A 17,140-nucleotide genomic window follows, 5' to 3' on the forward strand; every position below is an offset into this window, starting at 1 on the left:
TCCCAAGTAGCTGGTATTACAGGTACCTGCCACCACGCCCGGCTAATTTTTGTATTTTTAGTAGAGACGGGATTTCACCATGTTGGCCTGGCTGGTCTCAAACTCCTGACCTCATGATCTGTCCGTCTCGGCCTCCCAAAATGCTGGGGTTACAGGCGTGAGCCACCGGGCCGTGCCCGGCCATGAGGAAACTTTAAAACACTTTTTTTTTTTAGATGGGGATTTGCTCTGTCCCACAGGCTGCAGTGCAGTGGTGTGATCACAGCTCACTGCAGCCTCGACCTCCAGGGCTCAAGCGATCCTTCCTCCTCATCCTCTCAAGTAGCTGAGACTACAGGTGCACACCACCACACCAGGCTAATTAAAAACTTCTAGGCCAGGCGCGATGGCTCACGCCTGCAATCCCAGCACTTTGGGAGGCTGAGGCGGGTGGATCACGAGGTCAGGAGATCGAGACCATCCTGGCTAACATGGTGAAACCCCATCTCTATGAAAAATACAAAAAGTTAGCCAGGTGTGGTGGCGGGCGCCTGTAGTCCCAGCTGCTTAGGAGGCTGAGACAGGAGAATGGTGTGAACTCAGGAGGTGGAGCTTGCAGTGAGCCAAGATCACACCACTGCACTCCAGCCTGGGTGGCAGAGCAAGACTGTCTCAAAAAAAAAAAAAAAAAAAAAAAAAAAAAAAAAAAACCACATAGACTTGAACAAACGGGCAAATTCCTTGTTCTTTGATGGGATGACAACATCATAAAAATCCCATTCTTAATTCAGAAATGAAACATAATCCCAGTTACAACAGCACCAAAAGCTTTTTGTGGAGTTAATGCAGATTGACGCTGAAGTTCATGTGGGGGCACAGACGTCTGATGGTGCCCAAGAAACCCAGGAGACAAAACTGATGCTTCCCTGTGGACACTGCAGCATCCTCTAAAGCCGCTGTAATTAAGGTATGTGACACATGACCAGGAAGCAGACAGATGGACAAAAATGGAATATCTGGAAATAGACCTAGCAACATGGAAATTTAGTTAATAAAGTGGGTATTTCAGATCAGTGGGGCAAAAATGCAGTTTGTAATGAAAGGTGCTAGGACAACTGGTGAGCTGTCTGAACAAGATGGTTTTACATGTATAAATTACACCGTTCAGGTCGAGTGTGGCGGCTCACGCCTGTAATCCTAGCACTTTGGGAGGCCAAGGGGGGGCAGATCAGTTGAGATCAGGAGTTCGAGACCAGCCTGGCCAACATGGTGAAACCCCATCTCGGGCAGGCGCAGTGGCTCGCGCCTGTGATCCCAGCACTTTGGGAGGCCGAGGCAGGCGGATCACGAGGTCAGGAGATCGAGACCATCCTTGTTAACACAGTGAAACCCCGTCTCTACTAAAAATACAAAAAAATTAGCCGGGCGTGGTGGCGGGCGCCTGTAGTCCCAGCTACTCGGGAGGCTGAGCCAGGAGAATGGCGTGAACCCGGGAGGCGGAGCTTGCAGCGAGCCGAGATCGCGCCACTGCACTCCAGCCTGGGCAGCAGTGAGACTCCATCTCAAAAGAAAAGAAAAGAAAAGAAAAACCCCATCTGTACTAAAAATACGAAAGTTAGCCAGGCATGGTGGTGCGGGCCTGTAATCCCAGCTACTCAGGGGGCTGAGGCAGGAGAATTGGTTGAGCCCGGGAGGTGGAGCTTGCAGTGAGCCGAGATGGCGCCACTGCACTCCAGCCTGGGTGACAGAGCGAGACCCCGCCTTCCCCCCGCCCCCCAAAAAATTACACCGTTCACAGGAATAAGCTGCAAATGGATCAGGGATCTAAATGTGGACAAAACGTGCACACGTGGGTGATGTGAATGGTTTCGGGGCGATTGGGAAGAGGGCCTGGCCAGCAGGGGGCGGTAGCGCAGGCAGACCGGGTTCCGCGGTGCCTCGCCGGCTTCGGGGTGGGGGTCACCGCTCAGAAGGGGAGGAGAGCGAGGGACTTCCGGGGGGAAGGGAGGAGAGCGAGGGACTTCCGGGGGGAAGGGAGGAGAGCGAGGGACTTCCGGGGGGAAGGGAGGAGAGCGAGGGACTTCCGGGGGGAAGGGAGGAGAGCGAGGGACTTCCGGGGGGAAGGGAGGAGAGCGAGGGACTTCCGGGGGGAAGGGAGGAGAGCGAGGGACTTCCGGGGGGAAGGGAGGAGAGCGAGGGACTTCCGGGGGTAAGGGACTCGGTGAGGAACTCGGGGGATCGGAGAGGGGCTCGTGTGCTGGGCGACAGTGACACACTCAGCAGCCCGGCGGGAGCCGCGGTCGGTACCGTCTGAAGGGCAGCCGGGGCTGGGGGACCGACAGCTCTCAGGTGTCGGTTTTTCTGTGGCTAGCGGATGTTTGGCACCATTTCACAGGGCACACAGGGCAGACGGGACCTAGATGACGACAGATCTGCGTGTTTGGGCTCTGTTTGAAACAGACCTCAGCCAGAGTCTTGAAGAGCAGAACCCGGAGTGTTGAAGTCACAAGAGATCAACATCCCTACGGTGTGAAATCCTGAAAACGGCAAATCCCAAAGGACGAAACGCCCGAAAATGATGTCATCCTTTAAGTGTTTTCTTCTTTTTTCTTTTCTTTTTCTTTTCTTTTCTTTTTTTTTTTTTTTTTGAGTCAGGATCTCGCTCTGTCGCCCAGGCTGCAGTGCAGTGCCGCTATCGTGGCTCACTGCAGCCTCAGCCTCCTGGGCTCGAGTGGTCCTCCCACCAGAGCCTCCCACACTGCTGGGATTACAGGCACCAACCACCTTGCGCAGCTAGAGAGTAATTTTTAAACTTCTTTAAAAGACAGTTAGACTGGACATGGTGGCTCACGACGGGAATCCCAGCAATTTGGGAGCTCAAGCTGGGGGGATCGCTAGAGTCCAGGAGTTTGAGACCAGCCTGGGAAACAGGGAGACCGTGTCTCTACGAAAAAAAGTTTAAAAAATTAGCCGGATGTGGTGGCTCACGCCTGTGCTTCCAGGTATTCTGGAGGCTGAGGCAGGAGAATGGCGTGAACCCGGGAGGCGGAGCTTGCAGTGAGCTGAGATCGCCCCACTGCACTCCAGCCTGGGTGACAGAGCTAGACTCTGTCTCAAAAAAAAAAAAAAAAAAAATATATATATATATATATACACACACACACACGTATGTGTGTGTGTGTATATATACATATATATTTACTATATATTTATATATGTTATATATATAAATATAGATAGATGATCAGGAAAGACGTGAGAATGTCTTCAGTTGACACCTCAGGCTGAGCATCAGCACAGAGGCAGCCCACAACAACAAAAAACACAACAGTCAACAAAACCAAAACCCAGCAAACCCTGGGGAATGGGGAGAGTCTGACTTTCAGAGTTATATTATTAGATTCAAACGTCTAATTTTTTTTTTTTTGAGACGGAGTCTCGCTCTGTCGCCCAGGCTGGAGTGCAGTGGCGCGATCTCGGCTCCCTGCAAGCTCTGCCTCCCGGGTTCACGCCATTCTCCTGCCTCAGCCTCCCGAGTAGCTGGGACTACAGGCACCCGCCACCACGCCCGGCTAATTTTTTTTGTATTTTTAGAAGAGACGGGGTTTCACCGTGTTAGCCAGGATGGTCTCGATCTCCTGACCTTGTGATCTGCCCACCTTGGCCTCCCAAAGTGCTGGGATTACAGGCGTGAGCCGCTGTGCCCGGCCTCAAACGTCTAATCTTTAACAAAAGTTCCAAGCGGGCCAAGGGCACAGATGCTGCCTGCACCTGCGCAGCCACCCACCGTCGACAGGAGAGCAGAGGCACCAGGCCTGCTCCCACCACAGAGAGAAACGGGCTCCCCAGCCCAGCTCTGGGCTGGTCAGCAACCCCCACTCCCCACCCTGCCTGCTCAAAAGAAAGGGTCCTCGTGCCTCCAGCCCCCTCCACCCTCCCTCCAGGACCTTCCTGACCATGCGCTGGGCCTGTGCAGGTGTTGAGCCACACCCACGCCCTTCCAGGGGGCGGGGTCTCGAAGGGGAGAGCAGGTGCTATAGTCAACAGGAGGGAGGGCTTCTGGCCGAGGTGGCAAGGAGGCTCCAGGAGGAGAAGACAGTGTTGACCTGGGGCGTTGAGGGATGAGGAGTCCTGTAGGCAGCAGTGGAAAGGAAGGTGCTCCAGACAGGGGGCCTCGGGGAACAAGGGGATGCTGGAGTGTCACTGGTGATGAATCTGTTCGGGTCTGCAGCAACCTCAGTTCTTGCCTCCTTAGAAGAAAGAATTCAACCGAGGGGCATAAGGCAGAGGGAGAGACCGAGGCACGCTTCAGAGCAGAAGTGAAGTTTATTAAAAAGCTTTAAAGGAGGAAGGAAAGTACGCCTGGAAGAAGGCTAGGAGGGCACCTTGAAAGACCAGTGTGTGGTTTGACCTTCTGACTTGGGGTTTGATACAGTGACATAATGCGGGGTCTTGTGTTACTTCTCCCCACCCACCCAGCTCCTGAGATCTTAACGGGAAGCTGCTGATCACCAGCTTCAGCTGTTGTCTATCTGTTAGGAGGCTGTCTTTCCCTGGCGCTGGCTGTGACCAATTATTACTTTAGAGACAGTTAACAACTACCTGACCATCACCTCATGGTGGCCAGCACACCTGTTGTGTGTGTGTGGTGGTGGGGAGCCCTCTCCTGCCCTGCTCATACCCCCTAGCTACCCACACTAACATTTCCCCCCGCAGGAGGCCAAGACCCCAGTTCTTGAGGGAAATGGACAAAGGTCAGTCTTCTGTAACTGCTGTCTGCTGACAGAGGGGCAGCGGTGGTGGTTCTGTGAGTATTGGCCTCTTGCTGTCAGGGCACGGTTGGCTCCATGGGTTAGTGAAAGTGGTGGCCAGCCAGGGAGCGGTATCCAGGGAGACGGGCAGGATTGTGCCTCTGTCCTGTCCCCCTGATGGGCAGTCCAGGGGTCCCCTGTAGAAGGGTGGCTCTTGAATATTGAGAGGACCTATCTCTCACTGAGGACCACCTGGAGATTGATGACCTGAAGGCAAGAGGAGACAAATCAGGTTATTAGATTTAGAAGAATGTTTGTCTGGGCACGGTGGCTCATGCCTGTAATTTCAGCGCTTTGAGAGGTCGAGGTGAGCAGATCACCTGAGGGACAGGAGTTCAAGACTAGCCTGGGCAACGTGGTGAAACTCCATCTCTACTAAAAACACAGAAAAAAAATTAGATAGGCCTGATGGCACGTGCCTGTAATCCCAGCTACTTGGGAGGCTGAGGCATGAGAATCTTGAACCTGGGAGGCGAAGGTTGCAGTGAGCTGAGATCAGGCCATTGCACTCCAGCCTGGGCGACAGAGGAGGACTTCTTTAAACAAACAAGGCCGGGCACCGCAGCTCACTCCTCAGCACTTCGGGAGGCCAAGGCAGGCGGATCACGAGGTCAGGAGTTGGAGACCAGCCTGGCCAACATGGTGAAATCCTGTCTCTACTAAAAATGCAAAAATTAACCGGGCGTGGTGGTGCATGCCTGTAATCCAGCTACTCGGGAAGCTGAGGCGGGAGAATTACTTGAACCTGGGAGACAGAGGTTGCAGTGACCCCGCCATTGCACTCCAGCCTGGGCGAGACTCAGTCTCAAAAAAAAAAGATTTAGGTAGCTTCGCCCGGCTGGCAGACATGTATGGGCACCCGTGAGGGTCGGAGCAAAGGGCCAGATGGGACCACCGCTGGCTTCACCAAAGTGCCACAGGATCCACCTCCTATTCTAAGGGACCCCAGGGATACCCACGTCCTCGGTGGTGTCATAGACACAGCCCACACACCACCCAGCTAAGGGCCATAGCCATGACGCAGGCCTAAGAAATGAACCCCAGCACCTGCGGCCGCACCCTCCCTGTCCTGCCCATTTCAAGAGGGACTTGGGCAGCGGCTGGAGAACTGTGCTCAGTGGCATTTCCCGGCGAGGTGCTTGACCCTTGGCCTCAGCTCTGCGCCTCCCCATGCCCTTTCCAGTTCCTGGCTCTTTTTATCCAGCTTAATCTACTGCTGGGGGCCGTGCTATCCCTGAGTTTTTACTTTAAAATCTAACGTTTTGAACATATGTGTGTATGTATCTTTATAATAGGATGATTTACATTCCTTTGGGTATATACCCAGTAATGGGATTGCTGGGTCAGATGGCACTTCTGATTCTAAATCTTTAAGTAATCGCCACACTGTCTGCCACTATGGTTGAACTAATTTACACTCCCACCAACAGTGTAAAAGTGTTCCTTTTTCTCCACAACCTTGCCAGCCTATGTTGTTACTTTGCTTCTTTTTTTTTTTTCTTTTGTTTTGAGACAGTCTCACTCTGTCGCCAGGCTGGAGTGCAGTGATGCGATCTCGGCTCACTGCAACCTCTGCTTCCCGGGTTCAAGCGATTCTCCCGCCTCAGCCTCCCAAGGAGCTGGGATTACTGGCATGCGCCACCATGCCCGGCTAATTTTTTTGTGTTTTTGATAGAGACGGGGTTTCACCATGTTGGCCAGGTTGGTCTTGAGCCCCTGACCTCAAGTGATCTGCCCTCTTCTGCCTCCCAAAGTGCTGGGATTACAGGCGTGAGCCACTGCGCCCAGCCCATCTGTTGTTTCTTGACTTTTTTTTTTTTTTTTTTGAGACGGAGTCTTGGCTCTGTCGCCCAGGCTGGAGTGCATGATGCCATCTTGGATCACTGCAGCCTCAGCCTCCCAGGTTCAAGCAATTCTACTGCTTCAGTGGGGTCCCGAGTAGCTGGAATTTCAGGCACCTGCCACCACGCCCGGCTAACTTTTGTATTTTTAGTAGAGATGGGGTTTCGCCATGTTGGCCAGGCTGGTCTCAAACTCCTGACCTCAGGTGATCCACCCGCCTTGGCTTCCCAAAGTGCTAGGATTACAGGCATGAGCCACCATGCCTGGCCTGTTTCTTGGCATTTGAAAAATTGCCATTCTGACTGGCGTGAGATGGTATCTCACTGTGGATTTGATTTGCATTTCTCTAATGATCAGTGATGTTGAACTTTTTTTCATAGGTTTATTGGCTGCATGTATGTCTTCTTTTGAGGAGTGTCTGTTCACGTCCTTTGCCCACTTAAAAAATTTTTTTTTGTAAATTTGTAAGTTCCTTGTAGATTCTGGATATTAGACCTTTTTCAGATGTATAGACTGCACAAATTTTCTCCCATTCTGTAGGTCTCTGGTTAGCTCTGATGATAGTTTCTTTTGCTGTGCAAAAGTTTAATTAGATCTTTAGTTTAATGAGATCCTATTGGTCATTTTTTGCTTTTGTTGCAATTGCTTTTTGTGATTTGATCATTGCAGCACTATTCACAATAGCAAAGACATGGAATTGACCCCAGGGTCCATCATGATAGACTGGATAAAGAAAATGTGTTACATGTACATATACACCATGGAATACTATGCAGCCATAAAAAAGAAGCGAGATCATGTCCTTTGCAGGCACATGGGTGGAGCTGCAAGCCATTATCCTCAGCAAACTAACGCAGGAACAGGAAAGTAAACACGGCATGTTCTCACTTATAAGTGGGAGCTGAACAACATGAGCACATGGACACAGGGAGGGGAACAAAGCACACTCGGGCCTGTTGGGGGAGGGCGGGGGCAGGAGGGCATTAAGAAAAATAGCTAATGCATGTCCGGCTTCATACCTACGTGACGGGTTGATAGGTGCAGCAAACCACCATGGCACACGTTTACCTATGCAACAAGCCTGCACATCCTGCACGTGTACCCCAGATATTAAAAAAAATAAATACATCCGACGTTTCGTGAAAGCTGACTGGGCATTAGTGGATCCAAGCACCAAACAGGACGGCAGGTGGAGACGTGGGACAGAGGCGGGTGGAGAGAGAAGCCGGCGGGATCCAAGGCCCCAGGGCAGGCCCTGGCAGCGATGTGGCAGCCCCTCTGCAGTTTCCACGCTGGTAGTCGTGAAGTAAATTCTAGGCCCTGCTCCCCAACCGGCGCGGGCCGCCCTCGCCTTCAGCTCCAATGCTGCTGCGCCCCAGGCCGCCCCGCTCCTGGCAGGCCCCAGCCTCTGACTCAGCCCCCCGCCTAGCCCCTGAGAGCAGCCTCTCCGCGGGACTGGCCTGTGCGCGCGCGTCTGCGGCACCGTCGGACCAGGGGCCGCCCCCGAGCGGGGAGCCCAGGAGGACGGCCAGGTGGCCTGAGGCAGAGGCGCCAGGGAGGATGGAGAAGGGACACCCAGGGCCTAGGCGGGGTGGGGGCAGGGAGGGCGGCGGGACAGCAAGGAAGTGGGTGCACCTGGGTGACCCAGCTGCGCATGAGCGGGCAGGGGCTCGGGGCGCGCGGACTCCAGGCGCTGGACTGCGGCGTGGAGCAGCGCTGGGGAAACCGCGCCGGGTTCAGCGAGGATTGCTGGGCGGGGCGCGCGAGGAGCGAAGCTGGCCGGGGGCGGGGCCTGAGTCGTGTCGGGGCGGGGCCTAGACCCGGGCTGGCCGTGGTGGGCGGGGCCTGAGTCGTGAAGGGGCGGGCCTTGCAGGGGCGGGGCCTCGAGGGGCGGAGCTTGCGGTGACCAGCGAGGGGGCGGGGCTTAGAGCCACTAAGAAGCGGGACCCAGTGAGGGCTAAACGTGGGGCGCCGGGGGCGTGGCGCGGGGCGCAGGTGCACGCAGGTTGGCCGCGGGCGCGCGGGGTCCGGCGGGAGTCCCGGGGTGGTCCCCGCGTGGGGCCGGGGGCGTCCGCGCGGGCGGGGCGAGGTCGGGGAGGGCAGCTGCCCGCCCTCCTCGGCACTGGGAGCTTTCGGCTGGTACTGCGGGAGGAGCTCCCGGGTGACCCGCGGGTTCTGAAACCGCCGCTCGGGAGCTCGGGGCCTGCGCGGCGTCTACGGGGCGAGCGAGGGAGAACTGACGCCTTTCGCTCGGATCCTTCTCCCCTTCCGAGAACCAGGTAGGTCGCGTTTATTTTCAAGTCCGACTGTTTTCGCGGTAACATTTGTGAGAAACATCACGGTGGATCCTGTGGGTCGCTGAGTTTTCTGACTCCCGGTTTGTCTTATTTTGCTTTGTCAGTGGGCTCTGCGCTCGCGTTAACAATTCGAATGGGCACGTTTCTGAGTTTAAGAACGCTGTTCGCTTCCTCACACTTAGATTGAGGTGGAACTCACGTCACATAAACCGGGTCGCAAGGCTCAGCTCAGCGGGGCCCCCCCACAGTGTTGCGGGACCAGCACCTTCTCGAGCTCCGGAACAGCTTCTACCCGCGCAGAGCCCGGCCCGTCGGCGGCCGCTCTCCGCGCCCCTCCCGGGCCCTGCAGCCCCCGCCCTGCTCCGCGGAGCAGCCTGTTCTGACCTCCGTTCCATGGAGCCCTACGTGCTGTGGCTTCTGTGTTCCGGCGCCTTTCGCTTAGAATCGCGTCTTAAAGGTTCGTCCGCGGTGGAGCGGGGATCAGGCCCGTGTTCCTTTTCAGGAGTGAATAATATTCCCTGGTATGGAGACTGCGCTGAGATAGGACCTGGGCCACCCCCTCTGATTATTTCCCGCCCACCCCTTCACTGGCGCCAGCCCCACGGAGACCTCGCAGGTGCCGTGAGAAAGTGGAGATGAGCAGAGTCTGGACGCATGCGCGGGGCCGGGAGGTGCCGGCCGCAGCCTGCGCCGTCTCCTAATGCGGAAATCTGCACCCAGGGCGGAACTCGCCGGTGTCTTCCGCGCGCGCACTGCACGTGTCGGCATCCTTTCTAGTGCGCCTGCGCAGCCAGCACCGCCTGCACCTGCGCTGACGCTCGCTGACAGCAGTACCCTCCTGGGAAGCCACGCAGGACCCGTCTTCGGGAGCCCGAGAGCCTCCTTCCCGGGCGCCAGTCTTAATAAACTTTGTATGTGTGTGATGGAGCCTCGCTCTTTTGCCCAGGCTCACTGCAAACTCCGCCTCTCGGGTTCAGGCAATTCTCCCGCCTCAGCCTCCCTAGTAGCCGGGACTACAGGTGCCCGCCACCACATCCTGCAAATTTTTTTTTTTTTTTTTTTTGGTAGAGATGGGGTTTCACCATGTTGCCCAAGCTGGTCTCGAACTCCTGACCTCAGGTGATCCGCCCGCGTTGGCCTCCCAAAGTGCTGGGATTACAGGCATGAGCACCACGCCGGCCTTAATAGACGTTATCTGGGAGAAGTTTGTCGGGCCTCTTGTCGGTTTCTGTTGCTTGGCAAGGTAAGAACCTGCAGCAGTAACAGCATGGAGACTGATTTCGCTTGTCCCTTTCTCTCTGGATGGACGCGTGGGTGGTTTCCACTCTGCCTTCTCTGAGGGTGCCACGAGGAACATTGAGTTCCTATTTTCAGTTCTTTAGGGTATAAACCTACGGTTCAAATCAGGAGGTCCTATGGTAATTCTGTGTTTAAATCTTTGTACCCTTTACTTTTTCTTTTAAAGTACTTTTAAATTTTAATATTTTAAATGATGGAAAAATATACATAACATAAAACCTACCATTTAAACCATTTTTAGCTGAACAATTCAGTGGCATTGAACTTACGTAACCATCATGGTGGTCTATTTCCAAATTTTTTCTTCCCAAAAAGAAAGCACGAGGCCGGGCGCGGTGGCTCACTCCTGTAATCCCAGCACTTTGGAAGGCCGAGGTGGGCGGATCACGAGGTCAGGAGATCGAGACCATCCTGGCTAACATGGTGAAACCCCATCTCTACTAAAAATACAAAAAATTAGCCGCGTGTGGTGGTGGGCGCCTGTAGTCCCAGCTACTCGGTAGGCTGAGGCAGGAGAATGGTGTGAACCAGGGAGGCGGAGCTTGCAGTGAGCCAAGATCACGTCACTGCGCTCCAGTCTGGGAAACAGAGCAAGACTCTGTCTCAAAAAAAAAAAAAAAAAAAAAAAAAGCATGCATTTAAGCAGTAACTCCCCATTCCCCCCATGCACCCACTCCTGGTTAACCTCTCTTCTCTCTGTCTCTGAACTTGCCTCCTGTGAAGACCTTGTGTAAGTGGAATATTGCAATATTTGTCCTTCGCCTAGCCTCATGTTCTCAAGGTTCATTCATCTGTGTTGCAGCCTCTTTCCATAATTGGTTCCATTTTATGAATATTGAAACTGGCCCAATTGTCCCATAGAAGTGATGTTTATGGTTTCTTTTAAATAAACCTAGAAATTGGCCCTCTGAATCTTAGAACTTGAGAAAGTTACATTTGTCCTATCTGAGTTCCTTTCTCAGGAAACCAACCACTGGGCCTCCAGATCGCACCAAGAAGCTGAAATCCACCAGATCACAGCATCTGGACAATGAGATGAGAGACACCTCACCCTTCATGATTGCCCAGCTGGCCACCTGCTCCCATTGACCAGCTCTTCCTTACCCTCCCTAATTCCCATTTTCTCACACACAGATGCATTTCTTCCCTGCTAAAAACCCCTAATTTTAGGTGGTTGAGGTCATGGGGTGACTCTGAGTAACAGTCAGAGGAACCTCCAAATGGGTTTCCGAGGTGGCTGCTCTTTACATTCCCATGAGCAGTACAGGGGGCGCGGTTTCCCCACAGCCTTGCCGTCGCTTACCTCTCATTTTCAGTGATTTTATTTGAGAAACATACATTCACCCGTCCAAACCCAAGGAATAGACTCGGAGACTTGAGGAACAGGCGGAGCTCGCAGTGAGCCGAGATCGCACCTCTGCACTCCAGGAGGCTGAGGCAGGAGAATGGCGTGAACCCGGGAGGCGGAGCTTGCAGTGAGTCAAGATCCCACCTCTGCACTCCAGCCTGAGCAACAGAGCGAGACTCCGTCTCAAAAAAAAAAAAAAAAAAAAAAGGACCATTTAAAATGTTTTCTTACATTTTATTGTAGTAAAATACATGTAACATAAAACTTATTATGTAAGCGATTTTAAGTGTGCAGTTCAGTGGTATTAAATACATAATATGTCATCTTGTGCAACTATCAACCCCGTCTCCTTTTTTCCTTTTTTGTTTTTTGAGATGGAGTCTCACTGTATCGCCCAGGCTGGAGTGCAAGGGCACGATCTCAGCTCACTGCAACCTCCATTTCCCGGATTCAAGCGATTCTCCTGCCTCAGCCTCCCTAGTAGCTGGGATTACAGGCACATGCCACCACGCCTGGCTAATTTTTGTATTTTTAGTAGAGATGGGGTTTCACCATGTTGGCCAGGCTGGTCTTGAACTCTTGACCTCAAGTGATCCTATTATGAACATGAGTATAGAAACATCTCTTAGACCCTGCTTTGAGTTCTTTTCAGTTTGTATATGAAATTGCTGGATCATGTAGTAGTTCCATTTTTAATTTGGAATCACCACGGGGTTTTGGACAGCAGCTGCACCATTTTACATCCCACCCGCAGCATCTGTACATCCTCACAAAGGTTGTTACTCTCTGCGCTCTCCATGCTATTCCACTGGTCTATATGTCTCTAAATGTCTGTTTTTCTTTTTTCTTTTTGAGATGGAGTCTCGCTCTGACTCCCAAGTTGGAGTGCAGTGGCACAATCTCAGCTCACTGCAACCTCTGCCTCCTGGGTTCAAGTGACTCTCCTGCGTCAGCCTCCTGAGTAGCTGGGATTACAGGCTCCCACCACCACACGCAGCTAATTTTTGTATTTTTAGTAGAGACGGGGTTTCACCATGTCGGCCAGGATGCTCTCAATCTCTTGACCTCGTGATCTGCCTGCCTCAGCCACCCAAAGTGTTGGGATTACAGGCGTGAGCCACCGCGCCTGGCCACCGCCCGATTTTTTTTCTATTGATTTCCTGTTTTCAATTTCATTGATTTCTCTTCTAATTTTCATTTAGTTATTTATCTTTTCTTCTTCCTGCTTTCATTGGGTTAATTTGCTCTTCTTCTTGCTTCCCAAGGTGAAAGTTTGGATGACTGATTGTAGATCTCGCCTCTTCTCTAATACATACATTCCGTGCTATCAGTTGGCCACTATGCATTGCTTTTGCTGCATCCCACGAGTTTTGATAAGTTGTGTTTTATTTTCATTTAAAATATATATATATATATATATATATTTATTATTTTGAGATGGAGTCTCGCTCTGTCACCCAGGCTGGAGTGCAGTGGTGTGTTCTCAGCTCACTGCAAGCTCTGCCTCCTGGGTTCATGCCATTCTTCTGCCTCAGCCTCCCGAATAGCTGGGACTGCAGGCGCCCACCACCACGCCTGGCTAATATTTTTTGTATTTTTAGTACAGATGGGGTTTCACCGTGTTAGCCAGGATGGTCTCGATCTCCTGACCTCGTGATCCACCCACCTCGGCCTCCCAAAGGGCTGGGATTACAGGCGTGAGCCACCGCGCCCAGCCAGAAATATATATATATATTTATATACATACATACATACACACACACACACACATTTTTTTTTTTTTTTTGAGACACAGTTTTGCTCTTGTTGCCCAGGCTGGAATGCAAGGGCATGATCTTGGCTCACTGCAACCTCCACCTCCTGGGTTCAAGTGATTCGCCTTCCTCAGCCTCCCAAGTAGCTGGGATTACAGGCATGCGCCACCACGCCCAGCTAATTTTTTGTATTTTTAGTAGAGACGGGGTTTCACCATGTTGGTCAGGCTTGTCGCGAACTCCCAACCTCAGGTGATCCGCCGGCCTCTACCTCCCAGTGCTGGGATTACAGGCGTGAGCCACTGCACCCGGCCTCATTTAAAATATTTTTAAAGTTCTCTTGAGATTTCTTATTTGACCCATGTGTTATTTAGAGGTGTGTTATTCAATCTCTAAGTATTCTGGCATTCTCCAGCTATCTTTCTCTTATTGATTGCTAGTGTAATTCCGTTGTGGTCTGAGAATGGACATTGCATGATTTCTATTGTTTTAAATTTGTTAAGGTGCGTTTTTACAGCCCAGAATGTGGCCTATGTGGGTGACTGTTCCAGGTGGGCTTAAGAAGAACAGGTATTCTGTCATTGGATGAAGCGGTCTGTAGGTGTCCATTATATCCAGTTGATGGATGGTCCTGTTGAGTTCAACATGTTCTTACTGAATTTCTGCCTGTTGGATCCACCCATTTTTGATAGAGGGGCACAGACGCCAACTATAACAGTGAATTCATCTGTTTCTCCCCATAGCTCTCTCTCTAAACAAGTTCTTCTAACACGTCATGCAACACAGGCCTACTGGTAACAAATTTCTTAAATTTATGTCTGAGAAAGTCTTTATTTGTCCTTTAGTTTTGACAGATAATTTTTCAGGGTATAGATTCCTGGGCTGGTGGTTATCTTGTCCAAGCACTTTAAATATTTCCCTCATTTCGGCCAGGCGAGGTGGCTCACGCCTGTGATCCCAGCACTTTGGGAGGCTGAGGCGGGTGGGTCACGAGGTCAGGAGATTGAGGTGAAACCCCGTCTCTACTAAAAATACAAAAAATTAGCTGGGCGTGGTGGGGGGCGCCTGTATTCCCAGCTACTCGGGAGGCTGAGGCAGGAGAATGGCGTGAACCCAGGAGGCGGAGCTTGCAGTGAGCTGAGATTGCACCACTGCACTCCAGCCTGGGCAACAGAGTGAGACTCCATCTCTCAAAAAAAAAAAAAAAAAAAGCTGTTGTAAACAGGTCTTTAATAAGGAGGTGGCGAGGCTGGGTGCAGTGGCTCATGCCTGTAATCTCAGCACTTTGGGAGGCCGAAGTGGGAGGATCATTAGAGCCCAGGATTTTGAGTTTGAGACCAGACTGGGCAACATAGCAAGACCCTGTCTCTAGAAAAAAATCAGCTGGACCGGGTGTGATGGCTCACACCTGTAAATTCCTAGCATTCTGGGGGGCCGATTGCTTGAGCCCAGGGGTTCATGACTAGCCCGTCTTAAATAGTGAGACCCCATCTCTACAAAAAATAACAAAATTAGCCAGGCATGGTGGTGTGCACCTCTAGTCCTAGCTACTCAGGAGGCTGAGGCAGGAGGATTGCTTACGCCTAGGAGTTGGTGGTTACGATGAGCCATGATGGAAGCACTGTACTCCAGCCTGGGCAACAGAGCGAGTCCCTGTCTCCCATAATGAGGAAGTGGTGAGGTCTGGGGAGGAGAGGTGTTCTGTAGCCCTGTGATCAGGCCTCCATCTTTGATGAGCCTTTGCCCTTCACAAGCTCTCAGCTGTCCCCCGCCACCACCCTTAGAGGCGGAGAATGGCTACAGTGGACTTTGCTGTATTTCCCTCCCCTAGGTTAGTTAGGCCCTCAAGACCCCAATAGCTTAGACTCTGGTTAAACTGGTTCTCCTGAGGGCGGATTTCTTTTTTCTTTTTTTAAGTTCTGGGACACATGTGCAGAACGTGCAGGTTTGTTACCTAGGTGTACACGTGCCATGCTGGTTTGCTGCCCCTCTCAACCTGTCATCTAGGTTTTAAGCCCCGGACGCATTAGGTGTTTGTTCTCATGCTCGCCCTCCCCTTGCCCCCACCCACCGACAGGCCCCGGTGTGTGATGTTCCCCTCCCTGTGTCCATGTGCTTTCATTGTTCAACTCCCACTTATGAGTGAGAAAATGGGGTGTTTGGTTTCCTGTTCCTGTGTTGGTTTGCTGAGAATGATGGTTTCCAGCTTCATCCCTGTCCCTGCGAAGGACATGAACCCATTCTTTTCCTAAAGAGGGCAGAGCACTCTGGCGTATTTCAAAATGGTCCCTTCTCCCCTGTCTCTGCTAGAGCCCTGAGGGGGTTTTCTCTGATTTTCGCTGTGAGAACCTGGCAGCATTCCAGGAAGTAAAATTCACAAGAGCATGGAGACCTCCTGTGAGTGGGTCTTCCCGGGAGTCCTTAGCTCTCAGACTTGTCCACATGCTACTGAGAAAGCCGGTTGCCCAAAAGATGGGGTCCTTCCCTGTTTGGTGTCACGAAGCCGATACATGAAACCGAAGCCGACTTTATTCAGTGACCACGGACTGAGAAGCAGGAGCTTGGCCCACAGTTCAACTTCTCAACAGGTGAGCGGGCAGGGGCTAAATGTAGGGTTTCTGTACTGAAGGGGCTGGAGGTGAACAGCGAGGGGAAGAATATTCATGTCTTCTGGAAATGGGCGGTGAACTTCCCGCTGTCTTCCTTTCCTTGGCTGCTTTTGTCAGTTGTCGTGGCTCTAACCAGTCTCAACTGTTCGGGTAAAAAGAGGAACTTTTTATCACAGCCGTCCTGTTTCTTTTTTTCTTTTTTTTTTTTTTTTTTGAGACGGAGTCTCGCTCTGTCGCCCAGGCTGGAGCAAAGTGGCGCCATCTCGGCTCACTGCAGGCTCCGTCTCCTGGGTTCACGCCATTCTCCTGCCTCAGCCTCCCGAGTAGCTGGGACTACAGGCGCCCGCCACCACGCCCGGCTAATTTTTTTGCATTTTTAGTAGAGACGGGGTTTCAACGTGTTAGCCAGGATGGTCTCGATCTCCTGACCTCGTGATCCGCCCGCTTCGGCCTCCCAAAGTGCTGGGATTATGGGCATGAGCCACCGCGCCCAGCCGGGTGTCCTGTTTCTTAAACACAGTTGGCAAAGGGTAGAAGTTCAGCAACGCAGGCATCGCACCAGGTCACACACACCCAGCCCCAGCACTTCGTCATCTGGTTCAGGTTTTCCAGCCCTGGATCCTGTGGAGGTGTCAGCCCCAGTCTGCTGAGTCTGTCTCCTGATCTGGGGCAGCGGTTTGCCCTGTGGCCTTTCCTCTCTCACAGACCTAAGAAGGACCGTCGATATTTTCCAGCCTGTTTAGCCTTTTACTTGTTGGGATAGAATATGGCCAGTTCCAAACTTCCTACCTGCTGGAGACCTGGGGTCCACACGTTTCCTTAACACCATCATCTTTCTCCTCTCCTGAAATTCCAAAGACGGGAATGTCAGGCCTTTTGTTGTTCTGCAGCTACCTGAGGGTCTAGTCTTTTTTTTTTTTTTTCTGACATAATAACACTTTATTTGAAAATATGAAACTGGCGGGACAAGAGAAATAAAATTTAAAAAATAAAACAAGTCCAGGCGGGGTGGCTCACGCCTATTATCCCAGCACTTTGGGAGGCTGAGGCGGGCGGATCACCTGAGGTCAGGAGTTCAAGACCATCCTGGCAACGTGGTGAAACCGTGTCTCTACTAAAAATACAAAAATGAGCCAGGCATGGTGGTGGGCGCCTGTAATCCCAGACACTCGGGAGGCTGAGGCTGGAGAGTCACGTGAAC

The 17,140-nt window shown here is 52.2% G+C and overlaps 1 protein-coding gene across 1 annotated transcript, besides 3 other annotated features; it reads left to right on the forward strand.

Annotated features, from left to right (window-relative positions):
• Window positions 1,937-2,026: a silencer, noted in NCBI's record as "silent region_7896". NCBI's record gives its function as "represses an Ori minimal core promoter by ATAC-STARR-seq in GM12878 lymphoblastoid cells {active_cell/tissue: GM12878}" and the evidence as "EXISTENCE:reporter gene assay evidence [ECO:0000049][PMID:35858748]".
• Window positions 2,534-3,050: an enhancer, noted in NCBI's record as "H3K27ac hESC enhancer chr16:89308033-89308549 (GRCh37/hg19 assembly coordinates)". NCBI's record gives its function as "activates a minimal SCP1, AML or CMV promoter by ChIP-STARR-seq in naive H9 embryonic stem cells {active_cell/tissue: H9 hESC(naive)}" and the evidence as "EXISTENCE:reporter gene assay evidence [ECO:0000049][PMID:30033119]".
• Window positions 8,065-8,814: a silencer, noted in NCBI's record as "silent region_7897". NCBI's record gives its function as "represses an Ori minimal core promoter by ATAC-STARR-seq in GM12878 lymphoblastoid cells {active_cell/tissue: GM12878}" and the evidence as "EXISTENCE:reporter gene assay evidence [ECO:0000049][PMID:35858748]".
• On the forward strand, window positions 8,287-9,852 carry LOC124903766 (uncharacterized). Its single transcript, XM_047435040.1, has 3 exons — window positions 8,287-8,371; window positions 8,506-8,911; window positions 9,034-9,852. Exons 1-3 carry the CDS (start codon window positions 8,287-8,289, stop codon window positions 9,566-9,568), a joined length of 1,026 nt encoding a protein of 341 aa, XP_047290996.1. The 3' UTR covers window positions 9,569-9,852.
• The last annotated feature ends 7,288 nt before the right edge of the window (window positions 9,853-17,140 follow it).

Source organism: Homo sapiens, chromosome 16 (genome assembly GCF_000001405.40).
Source record: "Homo sapiens chromosome 16, GRCh38.p14 Primary Assembly".
Taxonomy (NCBI): domain Eukaryota; kingdom Metazoa; phylum Chordata; class Mammalia; order Primates; family Hominidae; genus Homo; species Homo sapiens.

Coding starts and splice junctions, on each gene's coding strand:
- LOC124903766 (XM_047435040.1), top strand. CDS start 8,287: ATGAGCGGGCAGGGGCTCGGGGCGCGCGGACTCCAGGCGCTGGACTGC. Junction 8,372..8,505: donor GGGAAACCGCGCCGGGTTCA/GCGAGGATTGCT, acceptor CGGGCCTTGCAG/GGGCGGGGCCTCGAGGGGCG. Junction 8,912..9,033: donor TCTCCCCTTCCGAGAACCAG/GTAGGTCGCGTT, acceptor TTGCTTTGTCAG/TGGGCTCTGCGCTCGCGTTA.